General features: G+C 37.0%; 2 long non-coding RNA genes across 4 annotated transcripts in view; one reads left to right on the top strand and one right to left on the bottom strand.

The window, feature by feature from the left end:
• The window catches only part of LOC105374194 (uncharacterized), a 33142-nt gene that overhangs the window by 2840 nt on the left and 13716 nt on the right, over window positions 1-16586 (bottom strand). The window lies entirely within an intron of this gene.
• The window catches only part of LOC105374193 (uncharacterized), a 75141-nt gene that overhangs the window by 45735 nt on the left and 12820 nt on the right, over window positions 1-16586 (top strand). The window contains exons 7-8 of one of the 3 annotated variants that reach the window (XR_007096289.1): window positions 3245-3379; window positions 3551-4523. This is a non-coding gene — a long non-coding RNA (uncharacterized LOC105374193). Of the gene's footprint in view, window positions 1-3099; window positions 3380-3550; window positions 4524-16586 lie in introns of those variants that run through there. The other 2 variants (XR_924675.3, XR_924674.3) reach the window with 2 other exon arrangements.

Genomic DNA, 16586 nt, shown 5'->3' with positions numbered 1-16586 from the left:
GGAATTCTAGTTAAATTTCAATGTTACTTAAACAATATTCTCAAAATAGCCAGGGAGAATTATATTTAGAAATATTTAATAAAAGCATAAGTGTCCAGTAGAGAAAACCAATGTTTAAGTTAAAAAAAAGAGGTTAATCTTTCTAATAATTATTAACACTTTTCAGATGTCATTATAAAATCTGTAAGTTAAATTGGAAAATGAATGCAAGAATTCTCCCTCTCTTAAAAAAGTTGACCTAGAACGAACAGAAATGGACTCCTAAATACTAAAATTCATTGCTTTTCATAAGGACCTGCAATAGAAACTGAAATTGCTATTCGATTGAGAACGATTGCTGGGTCTCTTTTTTCTTCACATCCTTACCTTACTTCTTCCCTGCTCAAATTTTCTTTTCTTATTGCTGTTTTCCTTCTGAGTCCTGTGAGTCTCTTCTAGCAGGTGAAAGAGAGGGATGCAAAACTTCCCATGTACTTTTTTTTTTTTTTTTTTCAGATCTGTTGCCCAGGGAAGAGGAAATGGTGCCATTTTTTTTTTTCAAGATTTTCTATTGGGCATGAAAATTGCACTAATTTTCCAGGGTGTTGGAAGAAATTACAAAATCTTGAAAACCTATTATACATAAAATAGACTTACTGTTGTTTTCATAGGACTCTTCACATTCTTTAGGACAATCAGTTTACTTTATATATTTTATAGTAAACAGTGAACAAGTTAAGAGGAGGGACATGATTGTATGTATATTCGTATTACCAACATTTAGTGCAGTGTTTTATGTATGTGTATTAGATTCTTAGAAAAATACTTGAGAAAATAAATCTTGCCCCTTCCTCAATTTTTCTAAGCAGGAATGATTGGACTCTAGTACCTACAAGTAGATAAAGTAATCTGGACAGAGCAATATAAAATAACCATCTCTGCGGTATGGCTGTCCCTTGAATTACCCTGCACAAAGAAATGCCAGAATGGCATTAATCTAAATGCTAGGTGGGAAAAATGAACACACTGCCTTCTAAATCACATCAGCATAGAGGAGATTAATGACTATTATTTAAAGACTAAATCAAAAGATTGCAGTAAAGGCAGTGCTTCCATTTTGGTATAAATTTAAAATATTTGCCCATTACAGACTAGCATGGCAGTCTCTTGAGTTTTAGTGAAAATTTAATTCAACAATTGAAGTAACATTTGGTGCTTTCACAAGTGATAACACTTTTTTTGTTTGGTCAATACAGGACATTATAGTTTGTAAAGTATTTTGTGATATTTTAGCCTCTTTATTCTTCACGCAAAAAAACTGAAGGTAGATATTATTGGGTTATTTTTATTTTGTGAAGGAGAAAATTAGAGAGGCTATTTAGCAGTTAGGTGGTGCTCGCTCTCTTGCACTCTGACACTTAAAAGTATGTGTTTACTATCTCTATTCCCCAAGATCCACAAACATTTCTACTTTGCTTACTTTTCTGTCTTTACTACATTGCACAATCGCCAGCCCTGAGTAGGTGTAAGAAAGATATTTTAAGATAAATTAGGGATCGTTATTTTCACTATATTTCACTGCCAAGACACTGTGCTAGGTCCTGGGGTTATACAAAATTAAGACAGATTTTTATACTCAAATTCTTTGCAATATATTAGGAAGTTGTAGTGAAAATGTCATTCTAGAAGGAAGGACAGAAGAAAGGAAGAAAGGAAGGAAAGAGGAAAAGATAGTAGGATTAAGAAATAATACTCTTTTGTAATAGGCAGAATAATGGCTCCCCCAAAATATCCATGCCCTAATTCCTGAGATTTGTGAATATGGTATCTTCTGTGGCCAAAGAGACTTTACAAATCTGATTGGCATCCTGGACCTTGAGAGGAGATTATTGTGGTGGGCCAATATAATCACGTGAGTCCTTAAAAGCATGGAAACCTTCTCAGGTATGGTGAGATAGAGAGAGAGAGAGAGGAGTAAAAGTGATGTGATAGGAGGAGCTGACCTGCATTTGGCATCTTTGAAGATGGGGCAAAAGACCCATGAACCAGAAAGTGAGGGCAGATTCTAGCAGCTGACAAGAAAATAGATTCTCCTCTAAAACTTCCTGAAAGGAATACAGTTCTTCAGACACTTTGATTTTAGTTCAGTGAATCCCTTGGCCCTCCAACCCACAGAAATGTCAGACGAATACATTTGTATCACTTAAGCAACTAAGTTTGTGGTAATTTGTTAGAGCAGCAATAGAAAACTGATGTATCTTTTTTTTCCACCTGAATGGCACAGGAAATATAAAACTGGGAAAACTGTTCATTAGAATTGAAAGCAAGGCAAAAGAACCATCTTAGTTCAGACTTCTGTGTTTTCTACTACACACAGCAGAAATAGATTGAAATTAAAGGACCCACCAGCCTACATCTCAAAACTTTCCTTTGAAATAAGAACATGTCTTTCCTCCCAAATAAACCAGAAGAGAGCCTATATCCCATGAATTGCCTTGACAGGAAAACGGCTGACAGGGACAGGCCGTGAGATTCCAAACAAGTATTTTAACTAGAACGCCTTTCGTTACTACAGATTAGCAGATGTCATAGCAATGGTAATGTCATTACTCAAGATTTCCTGACAGAAAGCCTGTAGTAGTGTACAGGTCTAGTAGTGACATCTTCCTGTTCCCAACAGAAAGCCTGTAGTAGCAGGGAGCAGTTTTTGAGAGTCTTCTTTGACGCAGGAAATGTTTAATAATCTGGATAGGACCTGAGAATTCAGATGACTGTGTAGTTGTACTTAATATACGCAGCTTTTGGTGGAGATAGTAGTAGCCCCAGAGAAAGTTTTTACTTGGCAGTAAAGTTCTTTGCTGTCTTAATGATTATTTTAGTCAACAAATGATCTTAAGAATCAAGGCTCTTCCTTCTCTGGAAAGAGGCATATTAACACTGGGTTTAGAAGTTAATTCAGTACATTTGTCCCAAATAGGATAATCTATGCAAAGATGAATTTTGCCTACCAGGATTGTCAAAGTGCTAAATCATGCAAACTCTTCTCTGCATAATATTTATTTATTTATTTTTGTCTCTTAGTTCCTATTGTCATTCCATGCTTTCCTCTATATTTCTAAGGGACTAAAAGCCTGCAAAGTATATTTTTGTTAACTCCAAAGGACAGACTTTCAGGGCAGTTTACCAGGAGACAGCTTTTACAATGAGTGCACTGGCAAGAGGAAGGAAAAAGCCATTTTTGCTGCTTCATGTGTTGCCTACACAGAGACTGTTACAGTGGCTTCAGCAGAGTCAGTGGTTGTGTCAACAGCATCTGGAGCAGAGAGGGCAAGCTTAGTTCATATGAAGCAGCAATAGCAACAGAAGAAAAGGCAGTGACATCACCCTCAGCTTGTTGGAGGTAAGTGTGACCTTATGGACTAAGGCAAGTGACCGTAACACTCTCCAATGGCTGCTCACCATCCCCTTCATAATCTCCAGTCACTTCTCCAGAAAACCCCTTCCTTTAACTCTCTAGAACTCTCTGCCATCAATTTATTTATTTCTATTCCTGTCTGTTTGATATCACCAGAGAGGCTTTCATTTCCCAACTAAACTTTGGCTGCTTTGGTATTTGTTAAAGAAGCAAACTCAGAAATAGGCTTTCAAGGATTGGAATGTGAGTTTGTTAATCTATTTGTCATCTGAAAGTTGTGACTTTTTTGCCAGTGAATAATGGGCTATTTCTGTTTCATGTCAGCAAATGCAAAACTGTACATCAACTGGATTAAATTAAAGGCAAGTATGTGAGGCTGAAATGGGCTATTTTGCTTGATTATAATGGTAGGAATGATGAGTACATTGTGGAATACATGGGCTACTTCTGATTGCACTGGAAGAGCTCAGTCAGTGTACATTCAGAAACACTGAAACCATCAGAGATATTTCAGTCTCCATCGGCCCCCTTCCAGAGGCACCACAATATGCAGAGAATAAAGGACTCCTTTCTTACTCCCACCTTCCAATTCATTATTACTTCCCCATGGCAGAAGCTAAATAATCAAGATGGTAAAGGATCAGTGGAAATAAAGTTTTTAGGCTTCCAGCTTCCTGCAGGGAAGGGAAATCACAAAAGGTTAGAGCAGAGCTAAGTGCCTATAGACAAATAACCAGCTCAGTGATTACATTGTTAACAAGTTTTATAGTTGGCCCTAAAAATGGTCTGTAAACACATACCAGTTCAAAATAGAAAATTCTTAAAAAAAACCTTATTTCTGAAGTATTTATTTCTGAAATATCAGACTAAAAGAGAACTCCCAATTCTTTAATGGTAAAGAGAAAAATATAGATGCAAAAAAAAAATTAAGAAAAAGGAACAAGGTGACTTTTTGTGGCACAGAGGAAGTAAGACATACATACAAAAAATAAATAATATCATCTGTTGAAACAACATATACTACACAGAAGTAAATTTTAACCAGCATCCATAAAAGTCAAAGAAACAAATTTCAAGTACTGTCTTTAAAAGTCAAGGAAACATGTATGAGGCAAAATAGTAGATTTAAGATTAGATGGAAGTGCAGTAGAAGAAGATTGATATGGTTTGAATCTGTGTCCCCATCCAAATCTAATGTTCAGTTATAATCCCCAGTGTTGGAGGTGGGGCCTGGTGGGAGGTGATTGGATCACAGGGGCAGTTTCTCATGAATGATTTAGTACCATCCCCCTAGTGCTGTTTTTGTGATAAAATTCCCATGAGGTCTTTCTTTAAAACTGTGTAGCACCTCCTCCCTCTCTCTTTTCCTGCGGCTCCAGACAGATGTGTCTGCTTCCTCTTCACATTTTGCTATGATTTTAAGTACTCTGAGGCCTCCCCAGAAGCTGATGCCACCATGCTTTCTGAACAGCCTACAGAACCACAATCTAATAAAGCCTCTTTCCTTATAAATGACCAAGTCTCAGATAATTCTTTATAGAAAAGCAAGAGTGGACTAACATACATCCTGTGCCTGGAAAAGCCACAGACACTCAATGCCAGCCTGGGAGAGCAGCTGTGGTGGCTGAACCCTGAAAAATCACAGGACTAGAGCTGCCCAAGCCTTTGGGAGCCTACCTCTTGCATTGGTGTGCCCTGGATTTGGGACATGAAGTCAAAGGTGATTATATTGTAGCTTTAGGATTTAATGACTGCCCAGCTGGATTTTGGACTTGCGTGAGCCTGTAGCTTGTTCCTTTTGGCTGATTTCTCCCCTTTGGAATGAGAGTATTTACCCAATGCCTATACTCCCACTGTATCTTGGAAGTAACTAGATTTTTTTAAAAGAATTTTGACTTTATAAGCTTAAGAGAGTAGCATTGTCTCAGATGAGACTTTGGACTTCGGACTTTTGAGTTATTGCTGTAATGAGTTAAGGCTTTGGGGGAGATTGCTAGAAAGACATGATTGTATTTTGCAATGTGAAAGGACATGAGATGTGGAAGGAGCAAGGGGAAGAAGGATGTGGTTCAGCTGTGTGTGCCCACCAAAAATTTATGTTCAATTGTACCCTCCAGTGTTAAAGGTGGGGTTGGGTGGGAGGTGATTGGATCATGGGGGAAGTTCTCATGATTTAAGAGCATGCCACTTGGAGGTGTCCTCAGTGATGTTGAGTTCTCATGAGATCTGGTTGTTTAACAGTGTGTGGCACCTCCCCCGACCCGTGCTTCTGCTCTCACCATGTGAGACACCTCACTTGCATTTGCTTTCATTATAATTGTAAGTTGCCTGACATCTCCCTGGAAGCCAAGCAGATGCCAGCATCATGCTTCCTGTATTGCCTGAAGAACTGTGAGTAAATTAAGCCTTTTTCTTTATAAATTACCCAGCCTCAGGTATTTCTTTAAAGGGATGCAAGAATAACCTAATATGGAGATGAAAATGTAGCTGGAGGCAGTCTAAAGTAAAAGTGGAGCTTAGGGAAATTACTGTATTAAAAATGTTTAGGTACAAAGTAGTTACTAAAACAAGTTTTAGTGTTATATGGTGGTCAATAACAAGCTATTCTGTTGAAAGCTAAGTTAATGTTGTAATAGGTAAATTTGAAAAAGAAAAACAAAAGAAAAGCTAAGAGATGTTAAATGGATTAAAATAGAAAAGATAATTGACAAGCAGTGGAAATAGCAAGATTAAGCACAAGAAATAATTTAGTTACATAAGAGCTAGTATGCCAGAGTTCTTCAGAGACATTCAATAAATGCAAGAGATTATAGGATATGATTTAATTTTTCTTACTTTTATAGTTTTTTTATGCACACCACATGTTTACGTGAGGCAAACCATATATGTTAATATTTGTCAGATACTAATACAGAAAAAAACAGCATAACAGATATAGGTAATTATTCTATATTTAAAGTGAAAATGTCATTAAAATATATTGTAGTGATTCATTTTTCAAAAAAGGAAAACTATAGAATACTTGCATTATACTCAACTTTCTTCAAGTGTGGCATGGTACATTTTCTAATTTAATTGAATCTGTAGTATTTACGATATTTTTAGAACAAAGATTTCTGAGGACAGAGTGTCAGAAAATATGATACATAACAAAGAAAATTTAAATGGAAGTTACTATGTGACAATTAGTATTTTATTACTTTACATACACTAACTTATTAAATGCTTACGATAATGGTCTAAGATACAAATATTCTTATCTTAATTTTACACAGGAGAAAACTAAAACACAAAAAGTTCAAGTATATTACCAAAGTCACAGCAAAAGCTGTTGAGCTGACATCTGATTACAGTCAACCTGTATCAAGAGTCTGTTACCCAACTACTGTAAAATACTTTCTCTCACATTCTGACACTTGTTTATTGGCTACAGTATTTTAAATGACCAATACTGTATATTTATCACTCAAGGTATTTTAATTATTTTACCATTCAATTATTTATTTAATACTGTTCTTAATTTTTTCTCCAAGAATGTATTGTCATATCTGTATCAATATGATAAAAATTAAAACTGAACTCTTTTCCTATTTAGAAAAAACGTGCAGCTTGCTGCCTGTGCGCATTTAATTTTACATAAACATGCTCTATGAAGCTAAAGCAAATCTGACCAATTTTCAATGTGAAAATAAAATATAAAAACTGTTATTGGTGTTATTTCTAAACAGAACTAACATCAGAATTGTTTGAATCATCAGAATTGTCTAATGGATTCTGATTTTTTGGAAAATTGGATTCAAATGAATCTTTGGGTAACAACTGCTCAAGAATGGTGTTAATATCACATATAGAAATGCTGTTTTATAGGATTTGACATTTTCATCAATTGAGAATTACTATATTTTGCAAACAGAAATACCACTACTAAAAAACAGAATGCTGTAAATAGAATGATGTCTTTTGTTTCTAAAGTCAATATTCGAGAGCAATCCAAAAATAATAAAAGTGAGATATTTTGTGGTACACTTATCTCAGGGTAAATGCTGCAGCTGCAAGTGCTGCCAGTGTGTATTTTCAGGGAAAACAGGGAAAGGATTAACGTGGGAAAATGGGGAAAAAGGTAACAGGTTAAGCATTCTCATAGTGTTAAAACTAATACAAAAAATATTTATTGAATGGAGTGATTTTTCCAGAGTTTAAGCCTCCCATGGTTTATAGTCTAAAAGTGGGAATCTGGTAAATGAACAACTATTTCTTTACAGTTATGAGTGCTAAGACCGAATTACCATAGACTAGGTACTGTCAAGGAATTAAGTAGGGCATCTTTTACAAAGACAGTGGTAATGAGGTGAAAAATGTGACCGATATGAGACATATTAAGGATGTAAAGTATAAAATAATAATAGTAATTGACATTTATGAATATTTTTAATGTACAAGTTACTGTCATAAGTGTTTCATAAGGGTTTTATTACTTAACTCTTATTATAAAAGCTATTAGTAAGCTACATTAACTTTATAGATAAAGGAAACTAGGCATCAGAGAGGCTACATAAGTAACCAATGGAATGTGATTGAAGTAATGTTATGTGACTTGTTAAGACAGATAGCAACTTCTACTTCTGTTCCTCTTAGAGTGTTGCACTGAAACTGCGAGGTAAAGAAGTCAGCTCAGACTTCTTTAGTGTGAGTGGTCATGTGGACTGTTTTAGGCCATACTTGCACTGATGTAAAGAAATACTGAAGACTGAGTAATTTATACAGAAAAGAGGTTTAATTGGCTGAAGGCTTTACAGGAAGCCTCTAGGGTGGCCTCAGAAAGCTTACAATCACGGTGGAAGGTGAAGGGGGAGCAGGCATGTCACACGGCAAAAGCAGGAGCAAGCAGAAGATAATAACAACAGTAAGGGGGGAGGAACCACACACTTTTAAATAATCAGACGTATCATGGATGAAAGCTGAGGTTCCTCAGACAATTGCCAACACCAGCTGACAGAAATTGGTGAAAACATCTAGTGAAGTCATCTTGAAACTTTTAGTTCAGCCAGTCCTCCAATAGGTGGTGTGCTGATAAATATTTAACAATGCGGCTCTATGGGAAGAAAAATGCCTAATTTGTAGCATTTGGCATTTTCTGTCTAAAGACATCAATCATGGTAAATTTCAATCCATTAATGTGATGGTATCTGGTTTACAGAACTTCTGCAACCATCAGCTCTCCGTGTTGCTAAGAGTCAGCTCCAGCACAGAATTGTCTTCTGTTAAATGAAGCAGCATGAGTGAACCCAGCTGAAACCACAGCAGAAACTGCCTTGGAAACTTGCAAAATCATGAGAAATAGAAATCATTGTTTTAAGTAACTAAGTTTTGGGGTATTCAGATACACATCAAAGGACTAAAGAAAGCAATGAACAATAAAGAGACAAAATAAAAAGTATAATATTTAAAATATCATAAATGTTCAGTTGTCTCAATTATTAATAATAATGATACATTGTTTTATTTTCTTAATATTAGTTTAACTTCCTCTCTTCCTATTTGGATGTCTTTTATTGCTTTCTTTAGCCTGATTGCTCATGCTAGGGCTTTCATTAATATGTGAAATAGGAGTCGTGGGAGTGGATGAATATCCTTGTTTTGTTCTGGTTCTCAAGGGGAATGGTTCCAGCATTTGTCTCTTCAGTATAATGTTGGCTGTGGATGTGATCACTCTTCAGGTACATACCTTTGATACTTAGTTTGTTGAGGGTTTTTAACATGAAGACATGTTGCATTTTATTGAGAGATTTTTTTATTCTGCATCTATTGAGATAATCGTGATTTTTTTATTTCTGTTTATTGATGAATCATATTTATTGATTTCCATGTGTTGAACTGACCTTGCATTCCAGGAATAACGCCTACTTGATCATAGTGGATTTATTTTTTGATGCACATCTAGATTCTGTTTGCTAGTATTTTGTTGAAAATTTTTGCATCTATGTTCATGAAGAATATTGGCCTGAAGTTTTTTATTTTTCTTTTATCTCTGCCAGGTTTTTGTATGATGATACTGACCTCATAAAATGAGTTACAGAGAAATCCTTCCTCCTCAATTTTTTGCAATAGTTTCAGTAGTAACGGTACCAGCTCTTCTTTATACATCTGGTAGAATTCATCTGTATATCTATCTGATCCTGAACTTTTTTTGGTTGGTTGGCTTTCTATTACTGAAACAATTTTGGAACTTGTTATTGGTCTGTTGAAGGATTAAATTTCTTGTTGGGTCTTTTGAAGACAGCCTAGAATTAGGTCTTGCTTCTTTGTACAACTTGCCATTTGGTGCCTTTTACACAGGGCATTTAACCTAAGTTCAAGGTTCATGCTGATATGTGTGAATTTGGTTCTGACATTGTGTTGTTAGCTGGTTGTTACGCAGACTTGATTGTGTATTTGCTTATAGTGTCAATAGCCTATCGATTTCAGTGCCTTTTTGTGGTAGCCTGTAGCAGTTTTTCATTTCCATATGTAGCACTCTTCAAGGGCCAATGCTAAGGCACACCTAGTAATAACAAATTCCCTTAGTGTTTGCTTGTCTGAAAAGGATCTTATTTCTCATTTGTTTATGAAGCTTTGTTTGGCTGGATGTGAAATTCTTGGTTGGAATTTTTTTTCTTTAAGGTTGCTGAATATGGGCCCCCAATCTCTTTCAGCTTGTAGGGTTTCTGCTGAAAGGTCTGCTGTTAGCCTGATGGGGATTCCCTCTGTAGGTAACCTTTTCCTACTTTCTCGATGCATTTAATATTTTTTCTTTTACATTGGCCTTGAAGAATGTGATTACTATGTATCTTGGGAATGGTTTCTCATATAATATCTCGTGTGAGTTCTCTACATTTTCTGAATTTGCATGTCTATCTCTCTAGCAAGGTTGGGACAGTCCTTATGGAAGTTATCCTCAAATATGTTTTTGAAGTTGCTTGCTTTCTTCTTCATATATGTCAATAATTCTTTGATTTGATCTCTTTACATAATCCCATAGTTTTCAGAGGTTTTGCTCAGTCGTTAAAATCCTTTTTAAAATTTTTGTCTGCCTGAGCTAATTTGAACAGCTGGTCTTTGAGCTCTGAGATTCTTTCTTCTAATCTGCTGTTAATATTTGTGATTGTATAATAAAATTATTCTGGTGAGTTTTTTCAGCTCCATCAGCTTGGTTTCGTGCATTCTTAGAAGGGCTATTTTGTCTTTCAACTCTTAAGGCATTTTACTGGATTCCTTAAATTCCTTGGAATAGGTTTCAACTTTCTCCCGAAATTCAATGATCTTTGTTGCCCTCCAGATTCTGAATTCTGTCTGTCATTTCAGCCATTTTTTTTTTTTCTGGCTAAGAACTATTACTGGGGATCTAGTGTCATCATTTGGAGGTAAGAAGACACCCTGGCCCTTAGAGTTGCCAGAGTTCTTGCACTAATTCTTTCTCACCTGGGTAAGCTGATGTTCCCTTAACTGTTGTGTAATTTGATTATAGTCATTTGGCTTCATTCCTGGATGTTTTTACAGGATGGAAGTTGTGTGAGGGTCTTTATTTGTGGCTGAATTCTTGTAATTGGTTTCACAGGGGGGTATATTAGTTTGGCTGCAATACAGTACCTGGCCCTTAAGTGTAATGGCTGGTAGGTGGGATCTTGCTCAGCCACGTTGCTCCTGTATACTTGCTTGTATTTGCAGTTGTGCTCACTTTCAGTGTTATGAGGATGTGGGTTTCTCTCCCACTTGAATGCTAGCTGAAGATCTCTGCTTCATACTCCCAGGCTGTGCAATGCAGCTCTGAGAGAACTCAGGGTTTTTGTTGTCTCCCAACTTGGGCACAGAAGGGGTGAGGAACATGGCAATGGCAGTAGCGGAGGGTCTTTCACTTGTTTCTTGGGATTCCATCCCAGAGAAATGCAGAGCCACTGCCAGTTGGAATGGTCACCAACAGGTGGGGTAGCTGCCTTGCAGGCTCATGCTCAATGACCCTCCCTGGTGACAAGTATTAGGGGAAGAGGGCTAGCAGCAAACAAATATTGGTCTCTTCACCTTAGAGTGGTTGCAGCATGTTGGAGGTTAAAGTAAAGCACTCAGGATGTTTGTTCCTTTCCCAGTCTGAGGGCAGCAAAGGCAGTATTACTGCAGTGGCATGGCAGAAGGGCTGTCAATTATTTCCGGGAGCCCCACCTCAGAGAATCACAGTGCTTCTGTCAATGGAAATGTTCAGCAAGGGGTGAGGTGGCTGTGCTACAGGCCCAAGACAGGGGCCAAGCTTGGTGAAAAGTAATGGGTGGGATCTCACAGGGAAGAGAGACTGCACTCCCTTCTGTATGGTGGCTGTGGCATGCTAGAGTTGCCAGTGAAGCAACCGGGCTCTTTGTTTCTTCCCTAGGCCAAGGACAGTAAGGTCGTACAGTTGCAGCTACAAGGGCAGAGGGCTGTGGGTTGTCTTTAGGGATTCCTCCCTAGAGAAATTCAAAGCTATCACCAACTGATGTGTTTAGGCAATGTCAGGGCAGCTGTGCTGGGGGCCCTGGTTGAGAAGCCCTGCCCAGTGAGGAATAGCAGGGTTAGAGATCCATGTGGTAAACAGTCTGGCCACTTTTGCATGAGTGAGTTTCAGTGTCCTGGAGGCCCATGATACTCCTAGGTTGTTCACTCTTTCCCAGCCTTAGGGGAGTGGAGGTAGGAGTTGTAGCAACAGGAAAAATGGCAAGTGTCTCTGTTACCTCTGGGAGCTTCATCCCAGAGAAATGTAGGGCTGCTACTGGCCAGAGAATTAAGGTGGGAATAGGGAGACTGTGCTGGAAACACAGTTAGGGAGGAGCTGCCCAGTGAGAAGGAGTAAAGGCAGGGACCCCTGCGGAAAACAGTCTGGCTACTTGACTACACGAAAAGATCATCCTCAAGACACATAATTATTGGATTTTCCAAGGTCAACATTAAAGAAAGAATGTTAAAGGCAGCTAGAGGAAAAGGCAGGTCATCTACAAAGGAAGCCCATCAGGCTATCAGAGGACCTTTCAGCTGAAATCCTATACCCAGAAGAGATTCAGGGGCTATATTCAACATTCTTAAAGAAAACAAAAATCTTCAACCAAGAATATCATATCCAGTCAAACTAAGCATCCTAAGTGAAGAAGAAAAAAGATCCTTTTCAGATAAGGAAATGGTGATGGACTTCATTACCACTAGACTTGCCTTACAAAAGATTTTGAAAGGAGCAATAAATATAGAAAGAAAAGACCACTATCAGCTAATACAAAAACACGCTTAAACACAGAGACCAGGGTCAGCAGACAGCAACCAACCAAACAGGGCAACACAATAACTAGCTAACAGTACAACAACAGGATCAAATCCACATATTAATACTAACCTTGAATGTAAATGTGGTAAATGCCCCACCTAAGAGGCACAGAGTGGCAAGCTGAATGAAAAAGTAACACCCAATGGTATGCTGTCTTCAAGAGACCCATCTCACATGTAATGACACCCATAGGCAAAAAATAAAGTGATGGAGGAAAATCAACCAAGCAAATGGAAACCAGAAAAAAAGCAGGGTTGCTTACTTAATTTTAGACAAAACAAACTTCAAACCAGCAAAAATCAAAAAAGACAAAGGGCATCACATATTGGTAAATGGCTCAATTCAACAAGACCTAACTATCCTAAATATATATGCTCCCAACAGAAGATCACCCAGATTCATAAAGCAAGTTCTTAGAGATGTACAAGGAGAAATAGACTCCCACATAATAATAGCGTGACACTGCAATACTTCACTGACAGGATTAGACAGATTATCAAGGCAGAAAATTAACAAAGATATTCAGGACCTGAACTCAACAATGGACCAAATGGATCTGATAGACCTCTGCAGAGCTCTCCACACAAAAACAACAGAATGGACATTCTTCTCATCATCACATGGCACATACTTTAAAATCAACCATGTACTTGGACATAAAAAATCCTTAGCAAATGTAACGGAACCAAAATAATACCAAACACAACCTTAGGCCACAATGAGATAAAAATAGAAGTCAAGACTAAGAAAATTGCTCAAAATCATGCAATTAGATGGAAACTAAACAACATTCTTCTGAACGACTTTTGAGTAAATAATGAAATAAAGGCAGAAATAAAAATGTTCTTTGAAAATAATGAGAACAAAATTACAACATACCAGAATCTCTGGGACACAGCTAAGGCAGTGTTAAGAGGGAAATTCATAACACTAACTGTCCACATCAAAAGTTAGAAAAATCTCAGTTTAACAACTTAGCATTGCAACTGAAAGAATTAATTGAAGCAAGACCAAATCAACCCCAAAGCTAGCAGAAGACAAGAAATAACAAAAATCAGAGCTGAGCTGAAGGAAGTCAAGACAAGATAAACCATTCAAAAGATCAAAGAATTCAGGAGTTAGCTTTGAAAACATTAATAAAATAGGCCACTATCCAGACTAGTAAAGAAAAGAGAGAAGATACAAATAAACACAATTAGAAATGACAAAGGGAATGTTACCACTGATCCTGAAGGAATAAAAAAAAACCATCATAAACTACTATGAACACCTCTATGCACACAAACATGCACATAAACTAGAACACCTAGAAGAGACTGATAAATTGCTGGAAACATATACCTTCCCAAAACTGAACCAGGAAGAAATTGATTCCCTGAACAGACCAGTAATGAGCTCCAAAATTGAATCAGTTATAAATAACCTACCAAAGAAAAAAAGCCCAAAACCTGATGGATTAACAGCTGAATTATACCGTATGTACAAAGAAGAGCTGGTGTCATTCCTACTAAAATTATTCCAAAAAATTGAGGAGGAGGGACTTCTCCTCTACTCATTCTATGAGACCAGCATCATCTTGATACCAAAACCTAGCAGAGACACAGCAATAAAAGAAAACTTTAGGCCAATATACTTGATGAACACTGATGTAAAATTTTCAACCAAACATTCGTAAACCAAATCCAACAGAATATCAAAAAGCTAATCCACCACGATCAAGTAGGCATCATCTCTGGGATACAAGGTTGGTTCAACATGTGCAAATCAATAAATGTGATTCATCACATAAGCAGGACTACAGACAAAAACCACATGATTATCTCAATAGATGCAGAAAAGGCTTTTGATGAAATTCAACACTGCTTCATATGAAAAACTCTCAGCAAACTAGGTATTGAAGGAACATACCTCAAAATAAGAGCCATCTATTAAAAAAAAAAAAAACACAGCCAACATCATACTACATGGGCAAAAGCTGGAAGCATTCCCCTTGATAAACAACATAAGACAAACATGTCCTCTCTCACCACTCCTATTCAGCATAGTATTGGAAGTCCTATTCAGGGCAATCAGGCAAGAGAAAGAAATAAAGGACATCCAAATAGTAGGAGAGGAAGTCAAACTATCTCTGTTTTCAGACACAATCCTGTATCTAGAAAACCGTATAGTTTTGGCCCAAATCCTCCTTCAGCTGATAAAAATTTCAACAAAGTTTTAGGATACAAAATCAATGTACAAAAATCACTAGAATTCTTATACAGCAACAACAGCTAAGCCAAGAGCCAAATCAGGAAGGCAGTCCCATTCACAGTTGCCAAAAAAGAATAAAATACTTAGGAATACAACTAACAAGGAAAGTGAAGGACCTCTTCAAGGGGAACTATTAACCACTGCTCAAGAGAATCAGAGAAGACACAAACAAAAATCCCATGCTTATAAATAGGAAGAATCAAGCATTAAAATGGCCATACTATCCAAAGCAATTTACAGATTCAATGCTATTTCCATCAAACTATCAATGACATTATTCACAGATCTAGAAAAAACTATTTTAAAATTAATATGGAACCCAAAAAGATCTGAATAGCCAAAGCAATCCTAAGCAATAAGAACAAAGCTGGAGGCATCATATTACCCAACTTCAAACTATACCACAAGGTTATAGTAACCAAAACAACATGGTTCCAGTACAAAAACAGGCACATAAAGGAACATAATAGAGAGACCAGAAATAAGGCCTCATGCCTATAACCATGTGAACTTCAACAAAGCTGATAAAGCAATGGGGAAAAGACTCCCTCTTGAATAAATTGTTCTGGGATAACTGGCTAGTCATATTCAGAAGATTACAACTGGACCCTTTCCTTACACTGTATACAAAAATTAATACAACATTGATTAACCTAAGTAAAACACCAAAAACTATAAAAACCGTGGAAGATAACCTAGGCAATGCCATCCTGGAAATAGGAATGGGCAAAGATTTCATGTCAAAGACACCAAAAGCAACAAAAGCAAAAATTGACACATGGGATCTAATTAAATTTGAGATTCTTCACTGCAAAAGAAACTATCAACAGAGTAAACAGATAACCTACAGAATGGGAGGTTTGCAAACTATGCATCTAGCGAAGGTCTACTGTCCTGCATCTGTTAGGAACTTAAACAAATTTATAAGAGAAAAACAAACAACACCATTACAAAGCAAGTCAAAGGACATGGAAAGACAATTTTCAGAAGAAGAAGTACATGTGGCCAATAAGCATAGGAAAAAAAGCTCAACATCACTGATCATTAGAGTATAATCAAAACCAGAAGGAAATACCGTCTCACACCACTCAGAATGCTTATTACTAAAAAGTCAAAAACTAACAGATACTGGCAAGGTTGTGGAGAAAAGAAAACAATACACTCTTAGTGGGAGTGTAAATTAGTTCAACTATTGTAGAAAGCAGTATGGCAATTCCTCAAAGAGCTAAAAGCAGAACTACCATTCAACCCAGCAACCCCATTATTGGGTATATACTCAAAGGAATATAAGTGATTCTACCATAAAGACTTAATCACACAAATGTTTGTTGCAGCACTATTCACAATAGCAAAAACATGAAATCAACCTAAATGCCCATCAGTGACTGGATAAAGAAAATGTGGTACATATACACCATGAAACACTATACAGTTATTAAAAAATGAGGTCATGTCTTTTACATGAACATGGATGGAGCTGGAGGCTATTCTCCTTAGCAAAGTAAAACAAGAACAGAAAACCAAATACCACATGTTTTCACTTGTAAGTGGGAGCTAAATGATGAGAATTCATGAACACAAAGAAGAAAATAAGAGACACTGAGGTCTTCTTGAGGTTGGATGGGA

The sequence above is a fragment of the Homo sapiens genome, chromosome 3 (genome assembly GCF_000001405.40).
Source record: "Homo sapiens chromosome 3, GRCh38.p14 Primary Assembly".
Taxonomy (NCBI): Eukaryota; Metazoa; Chordata; class Mammalia; order Primates; family Hominidae; genus Homo; species Homo sapiens.
The sequence above is the reverse complement of the archived record's forward strand: the minus strand, read 5'-3'. Positions and strand labels throughout refer to the sequence as shown.